The sequence below is a fragment of the Homo sapiens genome, chromosome 3, assembly GCF_000001405.40.
Source record: "Homo sapiens chromosome 3, GRCh38.p14 Primary Assembly".
Taxonomy (NCBI): Eukaryota; Metazoa; Chordata; class Mammalia; order Primates; family Hominidae; genus Homo; species Homo sapiens.
Genome location: NC_000003.12, coordinates 19,326,527 through 19,343,727, shown reverse-complemented (window position 1 = coordinate 19,343,727; position 17,201 = coordinate 19,326,527). Strand labels below are relative to the sequence as shown.

Sequence of the window (17,201 nt, the reverse complement as noted above, 5' to 3'; positions counted from 1 at the left end):
TAGGTAGTCCTTGAGCTTGCTATGTTAAAAATGAAATGCCAAAGGATCCCCTCTCTGTCCTTAACTCCCAGAACTTCTGGATCTTAAATCGATTCCAAAATAGATCTGGTTGTTTCATGTGACTTTTTCTTGTCATTGGCAAGTTAGATGCTGGTATTTAATCTGCCACCTATGGTCACACAACACCCCATACATGTTCTGATGATTCCATAAGGCAAATTAATGACATTAACATTATCTTAAAACTTTGAGTATCTACAACTAAAGAGACATTGTTCTAGGTTTCTCAGTGAAGTCTTAGTGCTAAGAACCAATTACAAAATTCAGTGTGAAATCCTGGAAGACATATGTCATGTAAAATAGGAAATAAACTCCTTATACAGGCATAGTTATTTGTTGTGGCTTTGACAGGTAAGACACCATATTTCAGAAAGCAACTCTATTGTAATTTACTAGAAGTGTGACTTTCCCAAATTATTTAACGTATGGTATGCAATTGTAAATCCAGTGTTTTACTGTGAAATTTTCAACTGTGTTTTATATAAAATGTAAGTTTTTTAATGGAGTAATGACTTTGATTTGGTCATGTTCCTCCTGGATAAAAGCATTTGTAGAACTAGATAATATGCAAAACAGATGGAACTAAAATTAAATTTGAGAAATTTTAACCAATAAACTATGAATGTGTAATACGACTTGCTGCATCATTTTTGTTTCATAAAATGTAACCAGTGCGTCCCCATTTGCAGTGTCCCTAGTACCATATTGTACTTCACTGCAATAATATTCTAATCTCTATGCTGTGATAACACTATGATTAAGTACTTTTATTATAGAAATGCCTCATGACTGCTGACCTTTTCCAGTTTGTTCTTTATAGAAAAGCACAAACCAAAGTGGAAAAAAAAATCTAGGCAAGCCAATAAATGGGTAATTGAGGCCTTTCTTTAGCGAGTCAAACATTGCCACCAGGGGAAACACTAGCATTCATCCTGTACACACATACCACCTACGTTATTTATTTTCAATTTGTTCTTTTCTCTTCTTTGCAGGTGCCCAGAGATGTGATAAAGGACTGCTCGACTCCGTCTCCGGGCTGAGTCAAAGTGGGTCCCTGCTCTTGATCTTCCTTTGACTTTGTCTGGGGGAAAATAAAACTCATTAGACACACATGCATGCATCATTTCACCTCAAGAATGTCATTTTGACAGTTCCCTTTCAAGAGCATATTGTACATGTTTTCCAATACCTACAATAATCTGCTGGATCCTAATGACATTTAATTTAATTTTAGTCCTTTATGATTTATATATTTTTATCATCATATTGACTGCATTAATTTTTAAAAATTAAAGTAAAACGTACATGAACACAGAAGAACTTTAAAATAGTTCAGGAAATCATTAATGGGTATTACTCCTTTCTTCCTGCTATTCTACACTGAAATCCCTAGTTCTACTCTCAACATTTAAAAACATTCTTTCCAGAAAAATTTCTAATATGTACCCTATATCCACATTTACAATTATTTTTTCTCTGCATAAATGTAAGTTTACAGTGAAAACTGTTTACTTATTACTTTTTTCACATTAAAATACTTGTAAATCATTCCATATTTGCATATTATAGTTCTCTATTTTTTAAATGGCTAATAGCATACTATGTTAAGATTATAACTAACCTTATTAATTTTACTATTTCACTGTCATGAAGATTCAGATTTATCTAAGATTTTTTGTCAAAATCTGTGTGGCCAATCCTGCAAAGAAAATTCTTAAATGCATACAGTTTTGAGTTTATTCAGTAAATAAATTACTGGCAGTGGTATGTACATTGTAAATTTTGGTATACATATTCCAAATTTCATTCTAGCAATTTACAGTACCAGCAAGTGAATAGATGTGCCTGCTTCACCACACACATGCCAAAACTATAAACTATCAAATGAATATTGGCCAATATTTGGATAATTGAAAAATGCCATATTAATTTATATTATAAAAATCATGAGTGTGGATGAGCATGCTTTAAATATTTATTGTTCATTTGTATTGATTTTTCTGGTCTATTCATTTTTGTCAATTTTAGAATCAAAGTAGTGTTTTTAAATTTATTTGCAATAGCTCTTTGTATACGAAAGTAATGGCCATTTTCTCATCATATGTGCCACCAAAAATGTTCCCAATTTGTTGCTTGACTTTGGAATTTGTTTATGCAGTTTACAAATTTTAAAGTATCTGTTGTCATGTTAGAGTAGGTAGTTAGTCAGACATGAACAGTGCAGGAGAGGACCACCTCCCCAGAAATGTCAAGCAAACATTAGTTGATGGTCTGGTGGTTGCTAAACTGTCTCTCTGAAATGATAATTGGCCACAGCCAGCGCTAGTGAAAGATAGTCTCCTGATAGATAGAAAACACCTGAGCTGGTGATCTTAGGCGTTGAAGGAGTGGGCTCAAGCATGCACACTAAGAGGCAAAATGGTGGAGTTTAACCAGTATATAACCTTCCTCTGGCAATGCACTACTGGTAAGGGAAAGCACCTCAAGTGAACATGTGCACAGCTTCAGTAAACACACTGTGCATGCAGCCCCTCCCTAGTGCTGTCAGGCCACTGTGCACGTGGACAGCCCACCTCAAAAGAAGAATCAAGAAAAGAGAACTGGAAACCCTAGAACCATTCCAATGTGTAAAACACCAAGTCAAGGGCCGAACAGGGAACTTGGATCTCTCAAGTCACATGCTTGGCCCACTTCCAAGTGTACATTGCTTCCTTTCATTCCTGCTCTAAAACATTTTAATAAACTCTCAATTTTAAAACTTGCCTTGGTCTCTCCCTCTGCCTTAAACCTACTTCTGCCCCTTGGCTGAATTATTTCCTCCAAGAAGGCAAGCACTGAGTTTGCTGCAGACCTGTATGGATTTGCCACTGGTTTTAGTCAGACATATCCTTCTATTTCTGGTGTCTAGACATTATGCCCTGCATAGCCAAACTGTTGTCACACAAAAATATATGCAAGTTTCTTCCAATATACTTTGCCCTTACTTTAAAAAGTTTTAACATTTAAATTTTTAATCCAATTGCACTATATTTTAGTAACAAAAAGTAAGGATCTAGCTATATTATTTTCTTTCTAAAAGGCTACTGTTCAAGAAAAATAAATAAAGTGGTTATGTTACATTAAGAAATATTTAGTCATTATTTGATCAAATGGTCAGCATACAATTTCATCCTAAATAAATTGAATCCTAATGCTAGATGACACGTTAGTGGGTGCAGCGCACCAGCATGGCACATGTATACATATGTAACTAACCTGCACAATGTGCACATGTACCCTAAAACTTAGAGTATAATAAAAAAAAAAAAAATTAAAAAAAAAATAAAAAAAATAAATTGAATCTATGTCACAATTATTGCAAAATACAAAAACATTAAAATCTGTTTATTTAAGCTTCATCATAAAATCTCTCTACTATTATAAAAGCTCTTTGATATCTCCCCTTCATAAAAATAATTTGGTTTAGTTGCTATGTCATGGAAGCCATATGACTGTTGCTGATGCCTACTGTGCGCCAGGCTCTGTTCTAGATCTTCCAAATTTATTATTAAAATTGATCCTCATAAATATCCTATGAAATAAGTATTATTATTCTCCATTTACAGACGAGAAAACTGAAGGTCTAATAACACATTAGATGGTCACACATCTAGTAACAGGAGTAGAGTCGTTATGTGAAGTCAGATAGGTCTTGAGTCCCTCTTCTTTCCACACACAGAACCAAGTCTCTTAGTGACTTCAATCAGTGTTCGGGACTGCTGCTTTTTATCGACTTTCACATAGAGTAACAGGTATTATAATTCCTGTCCATCTGAGACTTCACTCCAAGTCTTTCACGGACTTTAATTACCCCCACCTCCAAAATTCCCACACCACTCTGGGATGCTTTAATGACCAGCAAATGGGGTGTTTAATTCACCGCAAAAGTCTAACTGAATGTTACTTTTAAAAAAAGCATTCACCTTTGCTACATACTTGAAAGAATATTGAAAATAAAATTTGCTACATTATTATAGACTTGAATCACTAAAAGTAGATTTTAAAACACTCAGAATAATATCAAAAAGGACACTTTTTAAAAACTTGTGGCTGAACAAAGCACATTTCATTGTTACTGCGAAAAGTTAAGATCATATCTTCGTGTGTTAAATTTTTTGACTTACATAGAATCTTTGTAAACTACATTTGAAAATGTAATTACTACTCCAGCAAGGAGTAATTTTAAATATATTTAAACTTGAAAACAGCCAGAGTTTTCAGACAATCTCTACAGAAATTTCGTAGGTATGGCCAACAGGCTGCTTATACCATATCAATTGGCTTCAAAATGTCAAGTGGAATTACAATGCTAACTACAAAATGAACCGGTTTAGATATTTACAACAGTCAATAAGCCAATTCCCTTCTCAGTGAGATATCTAATTAATAACAGATTTTCCAAATCAAATAATTGCAATTTTATCATCTTAGAAAAGGTCCCCTCAAAGGGAAGTGTCAAAGAATAATCTGTGTTAGTCTTGACTCTAAATGGAAGAAAAAAAGTTTTCTGTGAAAATATTTAGTCACAATTGAACCCTCATGCAAGATTGGGTTGAAAATCATTCTACTTTACTGTAATATTCCTGACAGCAATATTTCTAATCTGCATATCTACATAAACCACAAACACATCAGTACGTACATATATACATAACATATGGGTGTCTGTGTATGTATAACTAGAAATAAGCCAAATGTCCACATATAAAACAATGCATACAGGCATAGTAATGACCTAGAATATCATAATTCCATTAAACTGAACTTACATAGGAAATAAATGGGAAATGAATGAAACAGTGTCTTCCTATTAACAGAAATATCTCAAAAACATAATATTGAGTACAAAAGCAAAAAATGAAAGATCACAGAAAACATGGCAACATTTTAACAATATTCACAGACATGTAAAACTAAATGATATATTGTTTAGAGAAATGTACAACTGCTGTAAAACTGTATGTAATCACATGACTACAACCAGCTGCACAAGAGGCTAGAAAATACAATATCCAGTTGACCACCGTGCCTTACTAAATGGTATTAGTACAGCTGTATTTCTTAAACTGGATTGGGGGTATATAATGATTTGTAATACTATTTTATACTTCATATATATTTTTAATGTAAAATTATTTCACCACAAAAAGGACAATAATAAAGTGATATCAAACCATTTAACAGTGAAACCTGATAAAATTATACAGAGTGGTGGTGGTAGTGGTGGTGGTGGTAGGGAACAAACTGCTTGATATGGATGACCGAGGGCTAAAATCTGAAGAATCAATAGTTGTTAATAAGATAGGGTCGAGGAGCAAAGACAAGGTGTGAGGATCTCAGACAGAAAGGAGTTCAGCATCTTTGAAGAACTGAAGAAAGTCCAGAAGAGTTAGTATATGATGAAAGGAAGGAAGAGAGGTAAAAAGGGAAACTAGAAGGTAGGCAGAAGTCAGACAGCTCATCCAGCGCCTTTGAAGCCACACTAGAATTTTTGCTCTTGACTATAAGTGCAGTGATAAAAGTATTAGGAAACAAACAAATAAAAAAGCCTAAATTATTTTTCAAAGCCTAGAATATATATTTGTAGCGACTTGAATAAGAAGAATAACTCCCTCTTTCTCCCCCCCCCGCCTCTCTCTCTCTGCGTGTGTGTGTGTGTTTATTTTTTTTTCTGTCTCCCTCACCCTCTTCTTGTTTCCTATAACAGAGCAGAGATTAGCAAGCTACGGTGCTGGAGCACATGAAGCAACAGCAAGATTTTAAACTTTCAAATGACATGAGAACATTTGAGTTTTCAAAAGAAGAAATTGACTTGTAATGTGTGATTTTATTAGAAAGAGACAACAGAAGTTGATAGGAGATTACTCAGGAGCCTGTTTTAGTAGATCAGTAAAAACATGGTAAGGCTTAGACTAAAGTGGTAGCTAGCAGTAGACATGGAGCAAAGCTGGCACATTTGAAATACGTACAGAGATAAAAGTTGCCTGGCTTTGTCACTTAGTTGATTATGAAATTATCTAGTAAGAGTGTTCGGAGTAAAAGGAGAAAATCTAGGCCCTCCCTTTTTCTTTCAGTGATGAAAAAGGTGAAGATTTCAATTGCCATCAGGTCAATGAAGGTAAATGAGTAAAATACAAGAGGAGGAGGTAGTGGTCAGTAAGCAGGATAATTTAATAAGCCATTTTAGTTACTAAGCAACACTGAGAGATGAAAATTTCCAGGAAAAAAATTAAAGTTATGATTAGACTCCACTGAGTTAGGACTTCTGAACAAAACATCATGTATTAGCAATATTCTCTTAACCTCCATCATGTTCTAGGCATTATGCCAGGAACTTTGTCTTGGTTCTTTTTTAATACTCACTTTGTTAGGCATTAGTTTTTCCACTAACTGAAAGGGAAAAAAAAGCATAAAACAAACCTAAAGATCATCAAAGTTGTGTACTTGTCCAAATTCACACAGTAAGTGGGAGGGCTGATATTTGAATTCTCAATGAACTTGCTTGAAATCACATGTTCTTTCCAACTCAACATAGTAAATAATAGATCATTGAGCTGTGAGCCTGTCCGATTTTTTTACTTATCTGTGTTATCATGTTGGGTCAAAATGGATCTCTCCTAGGCAGGAATTATTTTCTCTGCTAGAAAGGGTCTTCTATTATTTTGCTCTCTTTCTTGCACTAAAAAGGTCATACGCTGAAATATACTCTCTCTCCAGTTGTCATTTTAGGTTTTATTTCCTTTCCACTTTCTCTCATATCCCTACTTTTACATTGTAAACTACTTTTATAACATGCTTTTTAAAAAAACAGAGCACTTGTTCCCATTTAAATATCAATGCAGAAACTTCTAGTTCAAGATGCAAAGGAAAAGTCCTCTTTAAAAAATTACAATAAAGTTATAAATTTTTATGTTCTAAATTATATAGCATTGAAAAACGTTAAAAACACAGGAAATCTGAAAATCCAAAATCACAGTGAAGTAACTTCATCTGTCTCAGAAATTGATAGCTGTGGTGGCAAAAAATAAATAAAATTATAGGGAATGTTAATACATTGATTTACATGTTATTAATGTTAATACATTAATAATGTTAATGTTAATAATTATCTATAATTAATGAATATCTATGGTATCTACCAAAGAAAGAATTTCTCTTCTTTTCATATGCTCATGGAACATTCATAACAGTTGATTTTGTTCTGCAAAGGCAATTTCAAAAATATTCCAAAAAATAGAAGTCATGTGTATGAAAACAATTCTCCATATAATGGCTCAAACTCTATTTTGATTTACTAAATTTTTGTATAATTTTTTATATTAAGAGAAATTAGTAAATTTATAGACTTTTGGAAATAAAAGACTGTTTTTAAAAAGAAATAATGTTAATAGGCATATTTGATATCCAAACTCAATGGATGTAATCAGATGAATGAGAGAAAAATTAATACCTAAAATGTATCTATTACAAAATACATGATATAAAAATATCTAATACATGAAACAAACTATATATTTAAAATGTTAAATATGTAGAACTTTAAGATACCAAATAAATATAGTAATTTAATAGGAAAACAATAAAAAAGAGTAAACTAGGTTATAGAAACAAAAAAATAAATGAAGCAGAAAACAACATTTTTTTCTAAAAGGTGGCCAATTAAATGGAAAGAAGATAAGAGAATTAAACTTTTGGCAACTGTATCCAAGGAAAAAAAATAAGACCAACACAAATAATATTCAGAATGAAAACAAGATCATGAATTTGGAAGACTTTAAAAATTATAAAATTACTTTGTAGAAAATTGTATTTTCATAGTTCTATTTTTAGATTTAATGAATACTTTGAGGGCAGGAGTCAATTACCAAAATAGTTCCAAAAAGTAGTAAAAATTTTGAATAGACCAGTAATGTGGAAAGAAGCAGAGAAAAAGACCATCTCATGTCACTTACCACCCCTCTCTGAGGCCTATTTCAGAGGGTGTTAAAGTCAAGGTTATCAAGCTTTAAAGGAACAAATAATTCTTTTGACAACTTCAGAGAATAAAAGAGCCAAAAAATTTCTGAATACATCTACAACTCTGGAAAACTTGGTACCAAAACTAGATGAGTATAAAAAGTATATATATATATATATATATATATACACACACATATATATACACACACACACATATATATATACACACACACATATATATACACACACATATACTACTTTCACTTATAGATGCAAAAATCCTAAATAAAACATTAGTAAACTGAATATAGAAGTACACTAAAAGAAAAATATATCAATCTCATGTAGCATTTATGCTAAGGGTGGTTCCCTTTTAGGGAATCAATATAATTCAGCAGATCTGTAAATAAAAATAAAACACATGACCATCTCAGTAAATACCAAATTTTACATATAACTCAGTAAACATTTGTGTTTTTTAAAAAGGTCTTTATAATAAGCAATAGAAGGAATCTTCTTTAAAAATACTCAACAGTAACTAAGGAAACAGCCTTATTTAGAGGGGTGGCAGTTTTTGTAACTTATAAAAAGGCTAAAATCTAAAAATTATATATATTTCAGAGAGAGAGAATGAAGGTAATTTAAACTCATTATGGAAAATTGGGAAATACAGAAAAATAAAAAAGAAAGAATGCCTGATTAGCTTCAATACCAAGAATTTCATGCATTTCCTTCCAAATTTTTATTGCATTTATGTTTTATAAGCTTAACTACAATTAAATAGTATATACACATTTCTTCCTTGAATATGAAAAATAATACATATGCATTTTACTAAATTTAGAAGTGAAAAACAGTGTAAAGCAGGAAATGAATCTCTTTCATAATACCATCTTCCAGTAATAATTTAACATTTGGTGAATTTATTTTTTGGCTTTGTTCTAGGCTTTTTTTTTTTTTAACATCACTGACCTCATATAAACTAATCTTAAACATAATTAACACAGGAATAATTATAGATCCTAGATATAAAGAGGATTTAAGGGGAAAATATCTGCCAATGAACATGAGACTGGACTTTTAGTTTTGCTCAATTAAAAAAAAGCCTGTGACTCAGTTTATTCAATATAAATTTTGAATATATACATCATATATATATGTAATCATTATTAAAAGGTTTGAAATGCAAATGGCCACAAATTAAGCCCTGCTTTGTTCTGTTTTTTAAAGATGAGGTTTTGCTGTATGGCCCAGGCTGGAGTCCAGTGGCTATTCATAGGTGCAATCATCGCAAGCTATAGCCTCGACCTCCTGAAGCTTTGCTTTTGTGATGGGAAATAAAAAGACAGGTTCTGCTTGCTGAGTTGTAGCGCATGTTATGCTACACTGGCCAGATGCCTGCTCAGGACTAAAAGCCTGGAGTCTATAGCTGCTGCGAGTGTACCTGTCCAGAACCATCACCTCTTAGGCCTCAGTCCACTTATGAATTTCCCTCAGGTGAAGTGAGTGACTCTTCCCAGAATATCCTGCATTCAATGACGGTCCATACGGGACTGTAATGAGGGGCCTCTGCCCAATTCGAGACAACTCTGCAGAGCACCCAGTTTTAGCTGCTGGTGAACATGGAGTCAGCAAATATCTTATAACTGCATTGCAGCCCAGTATGTCCCTCTGCCCACTCTTCTTCCTTTTATTCCTTTACATAAACTTGTATCCCAAAAGTGCTGCTTAAAAAAAATTTCCTGTATGAACTGTGGGGGAAAAAGTGTGCCCCAGAAAAACTACTTGCTGATACACAAAAATGACTACAAGTGAAAGAGGAATCATGTAGAGAATTGATGAAGGGTGTTGTTTACACTGTGAACTGAAGAATCCTTCTGGATTAATATATAACTGGTCCAAATTTGTTAAGGAAAGACACAAATTTATATCTTCCACATTCTTAAGTTTACAATTTTGAATTGTTTCTGTTGGCTGGAATACATTGTCATTTTTTAAAGAAAAGTATATGGATTGTATATTTTATCATTTTCCACGTATTGAATTGTACAACAGTCTATTGTTAATTTTGTTACTATGAGAGTGTTACAAAAACCTGCTAATCTCTGGGTCTAGCAAGAGCAATAGCATACTGCCAGAGTCAGGGCAGGGGAAGCACTCCAAACCTGTGTAGGCAACAGGGGAAGTGTTGTCTGCAGAAATTTAAAAACAATAATAAATCCAACTACATTTGGTCAGCTTTGTATTCTTACCATGCATTTGCAATTCTAAACAAAAAATCTTTTGTTGATTTAGGTTCAAAACAATTGCACGGTTACTGTTAAATTTTAATAGTATATGGAAGCTTCAAATTAGCACATTTATAGTACAAATTACATACTGGGAAAAATATTTCTAAACCACTAATCTGACAAAGGACTTAGATGTAGAATATATAAAGAACTCTGAATACTCAACAATAAGAAAACCAAACAATCCAATTAGAAAATAAGCAAAAGACATTTCACTAGAGGATATAAGAATAGCAAATAACCACATGAAAAGATGTTTAAAAACACTAACCATTAGGGGCATGCAAATTGAGACTACAATGAGATATCAATAGACACCATATGAGATATCAATACACAACAGCTAAAATAAAAAATAGTTACAGTATCAAATTCTGGTGAAGATGTGCAGAAACTGGATCTCTCACACATTGCTGGTGGAAATGTGAAGTAAAACAGTCACTCTATGCCGGGCTCAATGGCTCACACTTGTAATCCCAGCACTTTGGGAGGCCAAGGCGGGCGGATCACTTGAGGTCAGGAGTTCAAGACCAGCCTGTTCAACATGATGAAACCCCGTCTCTACTGAAAATACAAAAATTAGCTGGGTGTGGTGGCGTGCACCTGTAATCCCAGCTACTCAGGAGCCTGAGGCATGAGAATCGCTTGAACCTGGAGGGCAGAAGTTGCAGTGAGCTGAGATCGTGCCACTGTCTCAGCCTAGGGGACAGAGGGAGACTCTGTCTCAAAACAAAAGAAAAAAAATAAAAAGAAAAACAGTCAATCTAAAAAATAGGTTGGGAATTTCTTGAAGAAAAAAGCCTTAAACGTATACTTAACATACAAGTGAGCAATTGCATTGTTGGGCAATTATCCCAGAGAAATGAAAGCATGTCCTCATGAAGCCCTGTGCACAATTGTTAAGTAAACTGGTCTATCTATACCATGAAATACAATTCAGACTTAAAAAAGAATAAACAATGGATGTAGGCAGCAACTTGAATTGATCTCCAGGGCATTATGTCCAGTGGAAAAAGTTAATCTCAAGAGGTTACACATTGCATTATTCCATTATAGCATTCTCTAAATGTTGTAGATGGAGAACAGACTAGCAGTAGTAGGGTTAGGGATGGTAGAGGGTGATGGGGTTGGTATGACTGTAATAAAAGAGTAGCAAAAGGGAGATTTTTGTAGTGATAGAATTTTTAACAAAAGCAAAGCAATGTTTATTGCTGGGCTGGAGAACTGTAAGTGAACCTGAAACTGCCCAATCTAAGGAAGTAGGCCTGAAATCTTGAGTCAGTTTAGTTCACACACGTGAAGTGTATGTGAAAAAAAAAAAAAAACTAACGTAATGCAAAAATAGGTGATATATACATCCTTAAAGTACTAATACTTAAAAAAATTTCTCCTACCAAATATTCTGATATTGGCCATTTTGAATATGGATCTTCACAAGTAAAACAGTTCAGAGACTGGGTATTTCATTGTATTTGACTTACAGTTACTTTCATCATGATAGAAGACTCACCGTGGTACACAAATATAGTTAGATAGAATAAATAGGAGCCAGTATTTGATAGCACAACAGAGTGATTACAATCAATAGTAATTTATTGTACATTTTACAATAACTTAAAAGGGTATAATTGGAATGTTTGTAACACAAAGAAATGATAAATGCTTGAGGGGATGGATACTCCATTTACCCTGATGTGACTATTATGCATTGTATGCCTGTACCAAAATATCTTATGCATCCCATAAATACCTACATCTATGATGTACCCATAAAAATTAAAAATAATTGGCCGGGAACGGTGGCTCACGCCTGTAATCCCAGCACTTTGGGAGGCCGAGGCGGGCAGATCATGAGGTCAAGAGATCAAGATCATCCTGGCCAAGATGGTGAAACCTCGTCTCTACTAAAAATACAAAAAATTAGCCAGGCGTGGTGACACACACCTGTAGGCCCAGCTACTCTGGAGGCTGAGGCAGGAGAATCACTTGAACCTGGGAGGCGGAGGTTGCAGTGAGCTGAGACTGCACCATTGCACTCCAGCCTGGCGACAGAGCAAGACTCCATCTCAAAATAATAATAATAATAACAACAATAAATAAATAAATAAATAAATAAATAAATAAATAAAAATAATTAAAGAAAGAAGTCCATCTCAAAATCTAAATCTTCTCAAAGTCAACATGTAGCTATTATTGTTACCAACGTCAGAAAGCCAGAAACTTAGATTATAAGAAAAAATCTCAAAAAAAACTTCCCCCCAGTATTAGAAAATGATACAAAGTATGAATTTTGATTTTTGAAAAACTTTATACTACCTTGTAAGAAATAGTCTGCCTACAGTGAACTGATTATTATTTGGTATCATTGGTTGGAGATTTATGTCTTTCTGGGAAGATGGCAGATACTGCAATTTTGAATCTTACTTCTTCAGTAGAGAACATGACATTTTAAGAAAAAATTGAGAAAATGTTTGATGGAATTTAGCTTTGAAAGGTAGTTCAAAAAACTAGGCATATCACAATACATGATTATCCTTTGCCTATAGGTGATCCTCTAAATTTAAATAAGTTATGAGGAAATGAGAATTTTCCTCCTTACAAAAATATCGTAAAATTTGCCTAGGAAGTCCTGACTATGGGAAGACCCTCCTATGTTTGTACTATATGATACCAAAACAAAACCAAAAATTACCCTATTAGTGGTTAAGAATAAAAGGAATATTTTGGTTTTCCTACTCCTTGCATTAACTTCCTGATAGTATTTCCCAAATCTTGTGTTTGTAATGCCCCCAAATGGCACAATTTCAGAATAACTTGATGCTCCCAATATTAAAATAACTTCAATTCAACTTAAATGTCAAAAATAAATATGACTCCCACAACAGTTTCACAATAGGTGCTGGAAATTCATTGTCTTTTTATAACCCAATCAGTTACAAGGAAGATACTGTGAGACATCAAGCTCATATGAACAATTTCTGACTTCGTCTAGATCATATATGGTTGGAAAAATAGACGTAATTGAGGATATGGTGGTACATATGAGCACTAAATGGAAGTATTTGTGGAATATAAGGAAGACATTTATAAGGGAGAATAAGAACAATGAAAAAATCAATAGAGAAACTGGCCTCTGGTCTGAGCCTAGAAAACATACTTTTGGCCAAGCTTATGGAAGAAAGAGAATTCTAGACTGAGAACGCTTGAACAAAAATGTTAGAATATCATTTGAGAAAAATATTACACACATTATGCGTGGTGGTGTGTAATGGATGCTGCGGGAGACAAAATTGAGAGTAAACTTTCAGCAAAATTTATTAGAGATCTTGCATAATAGGCTAAAGAATTCAATCCTTTTTTTTTTACTTTTAGAAAAAAACTTCATTAAATACTCAAAAGCATACTTCTCAAAATCACAGAAGAGTTTCCAAATACAAGTGTTAGAAGGAAAAAAAAAAAGCTAAAAGCCAATCAGAAACAGTTCGGGTGTGCAGAGGACTGGACGGGGGACAGGGACTGCACATGGGAAGGAGCCACTTGTGTATTCCATAATTTGATCTTGTTGTGCCAGAATGCATGCTTTTTTTCCCTCCAAATGAGGAATTCATTTCAAATCGGAATTTCTTTTATTCTCCTGGAATTGAAATGCTTAGTGCTATCCCTAACATCAACCATGGGATTTTTGAAGTTATCCCAAATTTGCAATGCAAAGCACTTTTATGTATCTTCCAGTTGTAGATCGGAATAGCAAAAGTGAATGCTAAGACCAAAGTTTTACCCTCCTAAAGAAAGACGTTCCCTTCTAGAGAGCAAATCTATCATAAAATGTCAAAACTAGAAGAGAATAAAATGAAAGGAAAAAAACCTAGAAAAATATCCTAAAATATCAAATGTGGTCATTTCTAAATATAAGCCATAATTATAGCTTTACCTATTGTTCTTATTGTTCCTATGCTGTTTCTACAATGTTGCATCAACTACACTTAGCTTTACTCTCCCAAAATCTTGGTGATGAAGCCTTCTGAGTGTGCTTTCCAAGCAAAGATAAAGTTATAGTAATATCAAAGATTAGGTGAGGTTTATAGAAAGATATATATCCAGGCTTACCAAAGTATTAAGTCAAGAATATAGTATGTGATCAGCTTTCAAAGCATTTACAAGAGCTGCAAGTTAGTGAAACAGCTGTCTCCATAAACAGAGGAAATGTGGGGAAGCCTCGGAATGCCCTTCTGGTTATGGCACATTGGAATCCTAACTCTTAAAAGAAATATTGGGGTTATCTAGATGAGGAAGATGTTATCTGACTTCTGCTTTTGGATTTGTAGTGATGTATTTATTAAAGAAAGCTTTTAGAAACAGAAAGACCAAACAAATGGTACTAGCTATAAAATCTCTAATGGATTGGTAAGAACTATCCTTTGGTTATTTACTTTTTAGAACATATTTCTGACAGTATTTATCAAGGACATAAATAAAGAAATCATCCAGCAACACCCACCAAAAGAAAAAAAGTCCCTGCATATTGTATCCATAGCAAGCATAATAATATGACAGAAATAGGATTCTTTTATTCACTATTTTGTTCTAATGCTTAGTCAAATATCGGTTAGGAGTTTCTTTTATGGAAATTCTAATCACACAAAATAATGTATGAATCAAGAAAGATAATGTGTTTTTCTCAATTTTTTCTTTTCAAAAATTGCAATCACTCACTTGTCCCTAATCATTGCTATTACTTTCTATTTATATATTTTTTTCCACAGAATTTATGAAGACATTGACTAACGCTGTCTCTGGAATCTTTCATAGAAAAAATGGCCCTAAAAGCAAATTTTTATTGCTCTTCTGGTTGTGCAATTCAACATGTTGTTATTGAAAAATTGCCAGTTGTTTAGTTCTATTTACAGTGTGTGAAATTTAAAATGTGTAGTGGGGGATACATGGTTTAAAAGACCCCCAAATTCATCATGGAGCATAAAACTGATGGAAACGGTTTGGAAACAAATAGATTAAAATACAAGGTTACAAATACTATTAATAACCATCAGAAACATTAGACAATGCTTCTGAAAAAGAAAAAATTTCATATGGATTTAGGAATGATAGTTTATTTGGCAAAAGGAAAGTATGAGCCAAGGCTTAGTAGTAGCAATAACATGGCAAACTCAGGAAAGAATAAGGCATCCAGCATAAGAGAACAGTAATTGTCAAAATGCTTAATACATCTTGAAGCATTTTTTGAACATTATCAGTAAGTTTACGACAAATATGTTTGTTATAAACAGTGGTTAGAAATTTTCAAAAATGTTTTTCTTCTAGGAAAAGTAATGGGACAGAAAAAAAATGAGACAGAGAGAGAGACATGTAGAAACAGGAAGAAATAAAGTAACACTTATTGAGCATCTCTTAAGTTTCAGTTAATCACTAGGCATAAACTATATTAATATAAATCTAATATTAACCCTTTGGGGTAAGTTTTGTCCCCTCTATTAGTTAGTAGAAGAGAAGACTTGAGGTAAAAGAGCTTACATATTTTGCTTAGTGTCATATTGCTAGAAATAAGTAGACCCGGCATTGATTTGGAGGTCTATATGTTTCTAAAACCTGTGTCTTTTCCACTAGGCATACTGAATTAGAAATAATGATGACAACACTCACTCCTTATAACCTGAGAAACCAGTGACATCACTGAAATTGTCAGGAGAGACGTGAAAAATAAACAAGGAAAGATAGGAGAAAAAGGTGGAAAGTGTAATAAAAGGTTAGATTGTCTATAATTATGGCCATGGGGCCAGGCATGGTGGCTCAGGCCTGTAATCCCAGCACTTTGGGAGGCTGAGACTGGCAGACTGCTTGAGGTCAGGAGTTCAAGACCAGACCAGCCAACATGGTGAAACCCCGTCTCTACTAAAACTACAAAAATTAGCCAGACATGGTTGTGTGTGCCTGTTATCCCAGCTACTTGGGAGGCTCAGACAGGAGAGTTGCTTGAACCTAGGAGACGAAGGCTGCAGTGAGCCTAGATCACACCACTGCACTCGTCTGGGTGACAGAGTGAGAACCTGTCTCAAAACTAAGTAACTAAGTAAGTAAATATGGCCAGCAATTAGCCATCACATTCTTATTCATATATGCTTTTCTTCCTACCAATAGATAGAGGTTGTTTTCTCTCCCCTTGAATTTGAGCTGGTCCTGTGACTTTCTTTGACCATTAAAGTATGGCAGAAAAGACTGTGTGTGACTTCTGGACTTACGCAGCTTCCATATGTGCCCTCTTGAGATCCAACCATTATGTAAAGTCTCAAAGCTCAACTAATGAATAAGAAGAGAAAGCAAGACAGAGAGAGAGAACTAGACATCTTAGACAATGGAATGACCCCCAGTGATTCTACCCTCCCCAGTTAAGGGCCCTGTTAAGACACCAGATATATCAATGAAGTCCTTCAGAATATTCTGTCCCCAGCCAAGTTCCAAGCTGATAGCAGCTACATGAATGAATCCAGCCAATACCATATGAAACATAAGAACCACGTAGCTAACCCACAGAATCATAAAATATAAAAACTATTTTTGTTTTCAATTTTTCAAGTTTTGGGGAAATTTGCTATGCAGCAAAGACTAATTGGTACAATGAGTTTGGGGATCTTGAAATGGAGAGAACAAGTCATCAGGAAAATACAGGCATAGCAGGAGGGTAGTGCCACCTTAGTCTCTATCTTTATTCAAAACTGGAGCCTATATCTGATATTAACAGCTACTTCTATTAAAATATAAATACTCTCTGGAAGAAATAGCTGCTTAGCAGGAATTAGTTGACAATCAATAGAATACCAACATTTGGCACAGAATGAA

At 34.0% G+C, this 17,201-nt stretch overlaps 1 protein-coding gene across 5 annotated transcripts in view, besides 1 other annotated feature; it reads right to left on the bottom strand.

Annotated features, from left to right (window-relative positions):
- Window positions 1–17,201, bottom strand: part of KCNH8 (potassium voltage-gated channel subfamily H member 8) — a 387,133-nt gene that overhangs the window by 191,915 nt on the left and 178,017 nt on the right. For all 5 annotated transcript variants that reach the window (XM_017005698.3, NM_144633.3, XM_017005700.3 and 2 more), the window contains one exon: window positions 1,014–1,141. In XM_017005698.3, coding sequence (XP_016861187.1) covers window positions 1,014–1,141 — 128 coding nt within the window. The remainder of the gene's footprint in view (window positions 1–1,013; window positions 1,142–17,201) is intronic.
- Window positions 9,584–10,084: an enhancer, noted in NCBI's record as "OCT4-NANOG-H3K27ac hESC enhancer chr3:19375136-19375636 (GRCh37/hg19 assembly coordinates)". NCBI's record gives its function as "activates a minimal SCP1, AML or CMV promoter by ChIP-STARR-seq in naive H9 embryonic stem cells {active_cell/tissue: H9 hESC(naive)}" and the evidence as "EXISTENCE:reporter gene assay evidence [ECO:0000049][PMID:30033119]".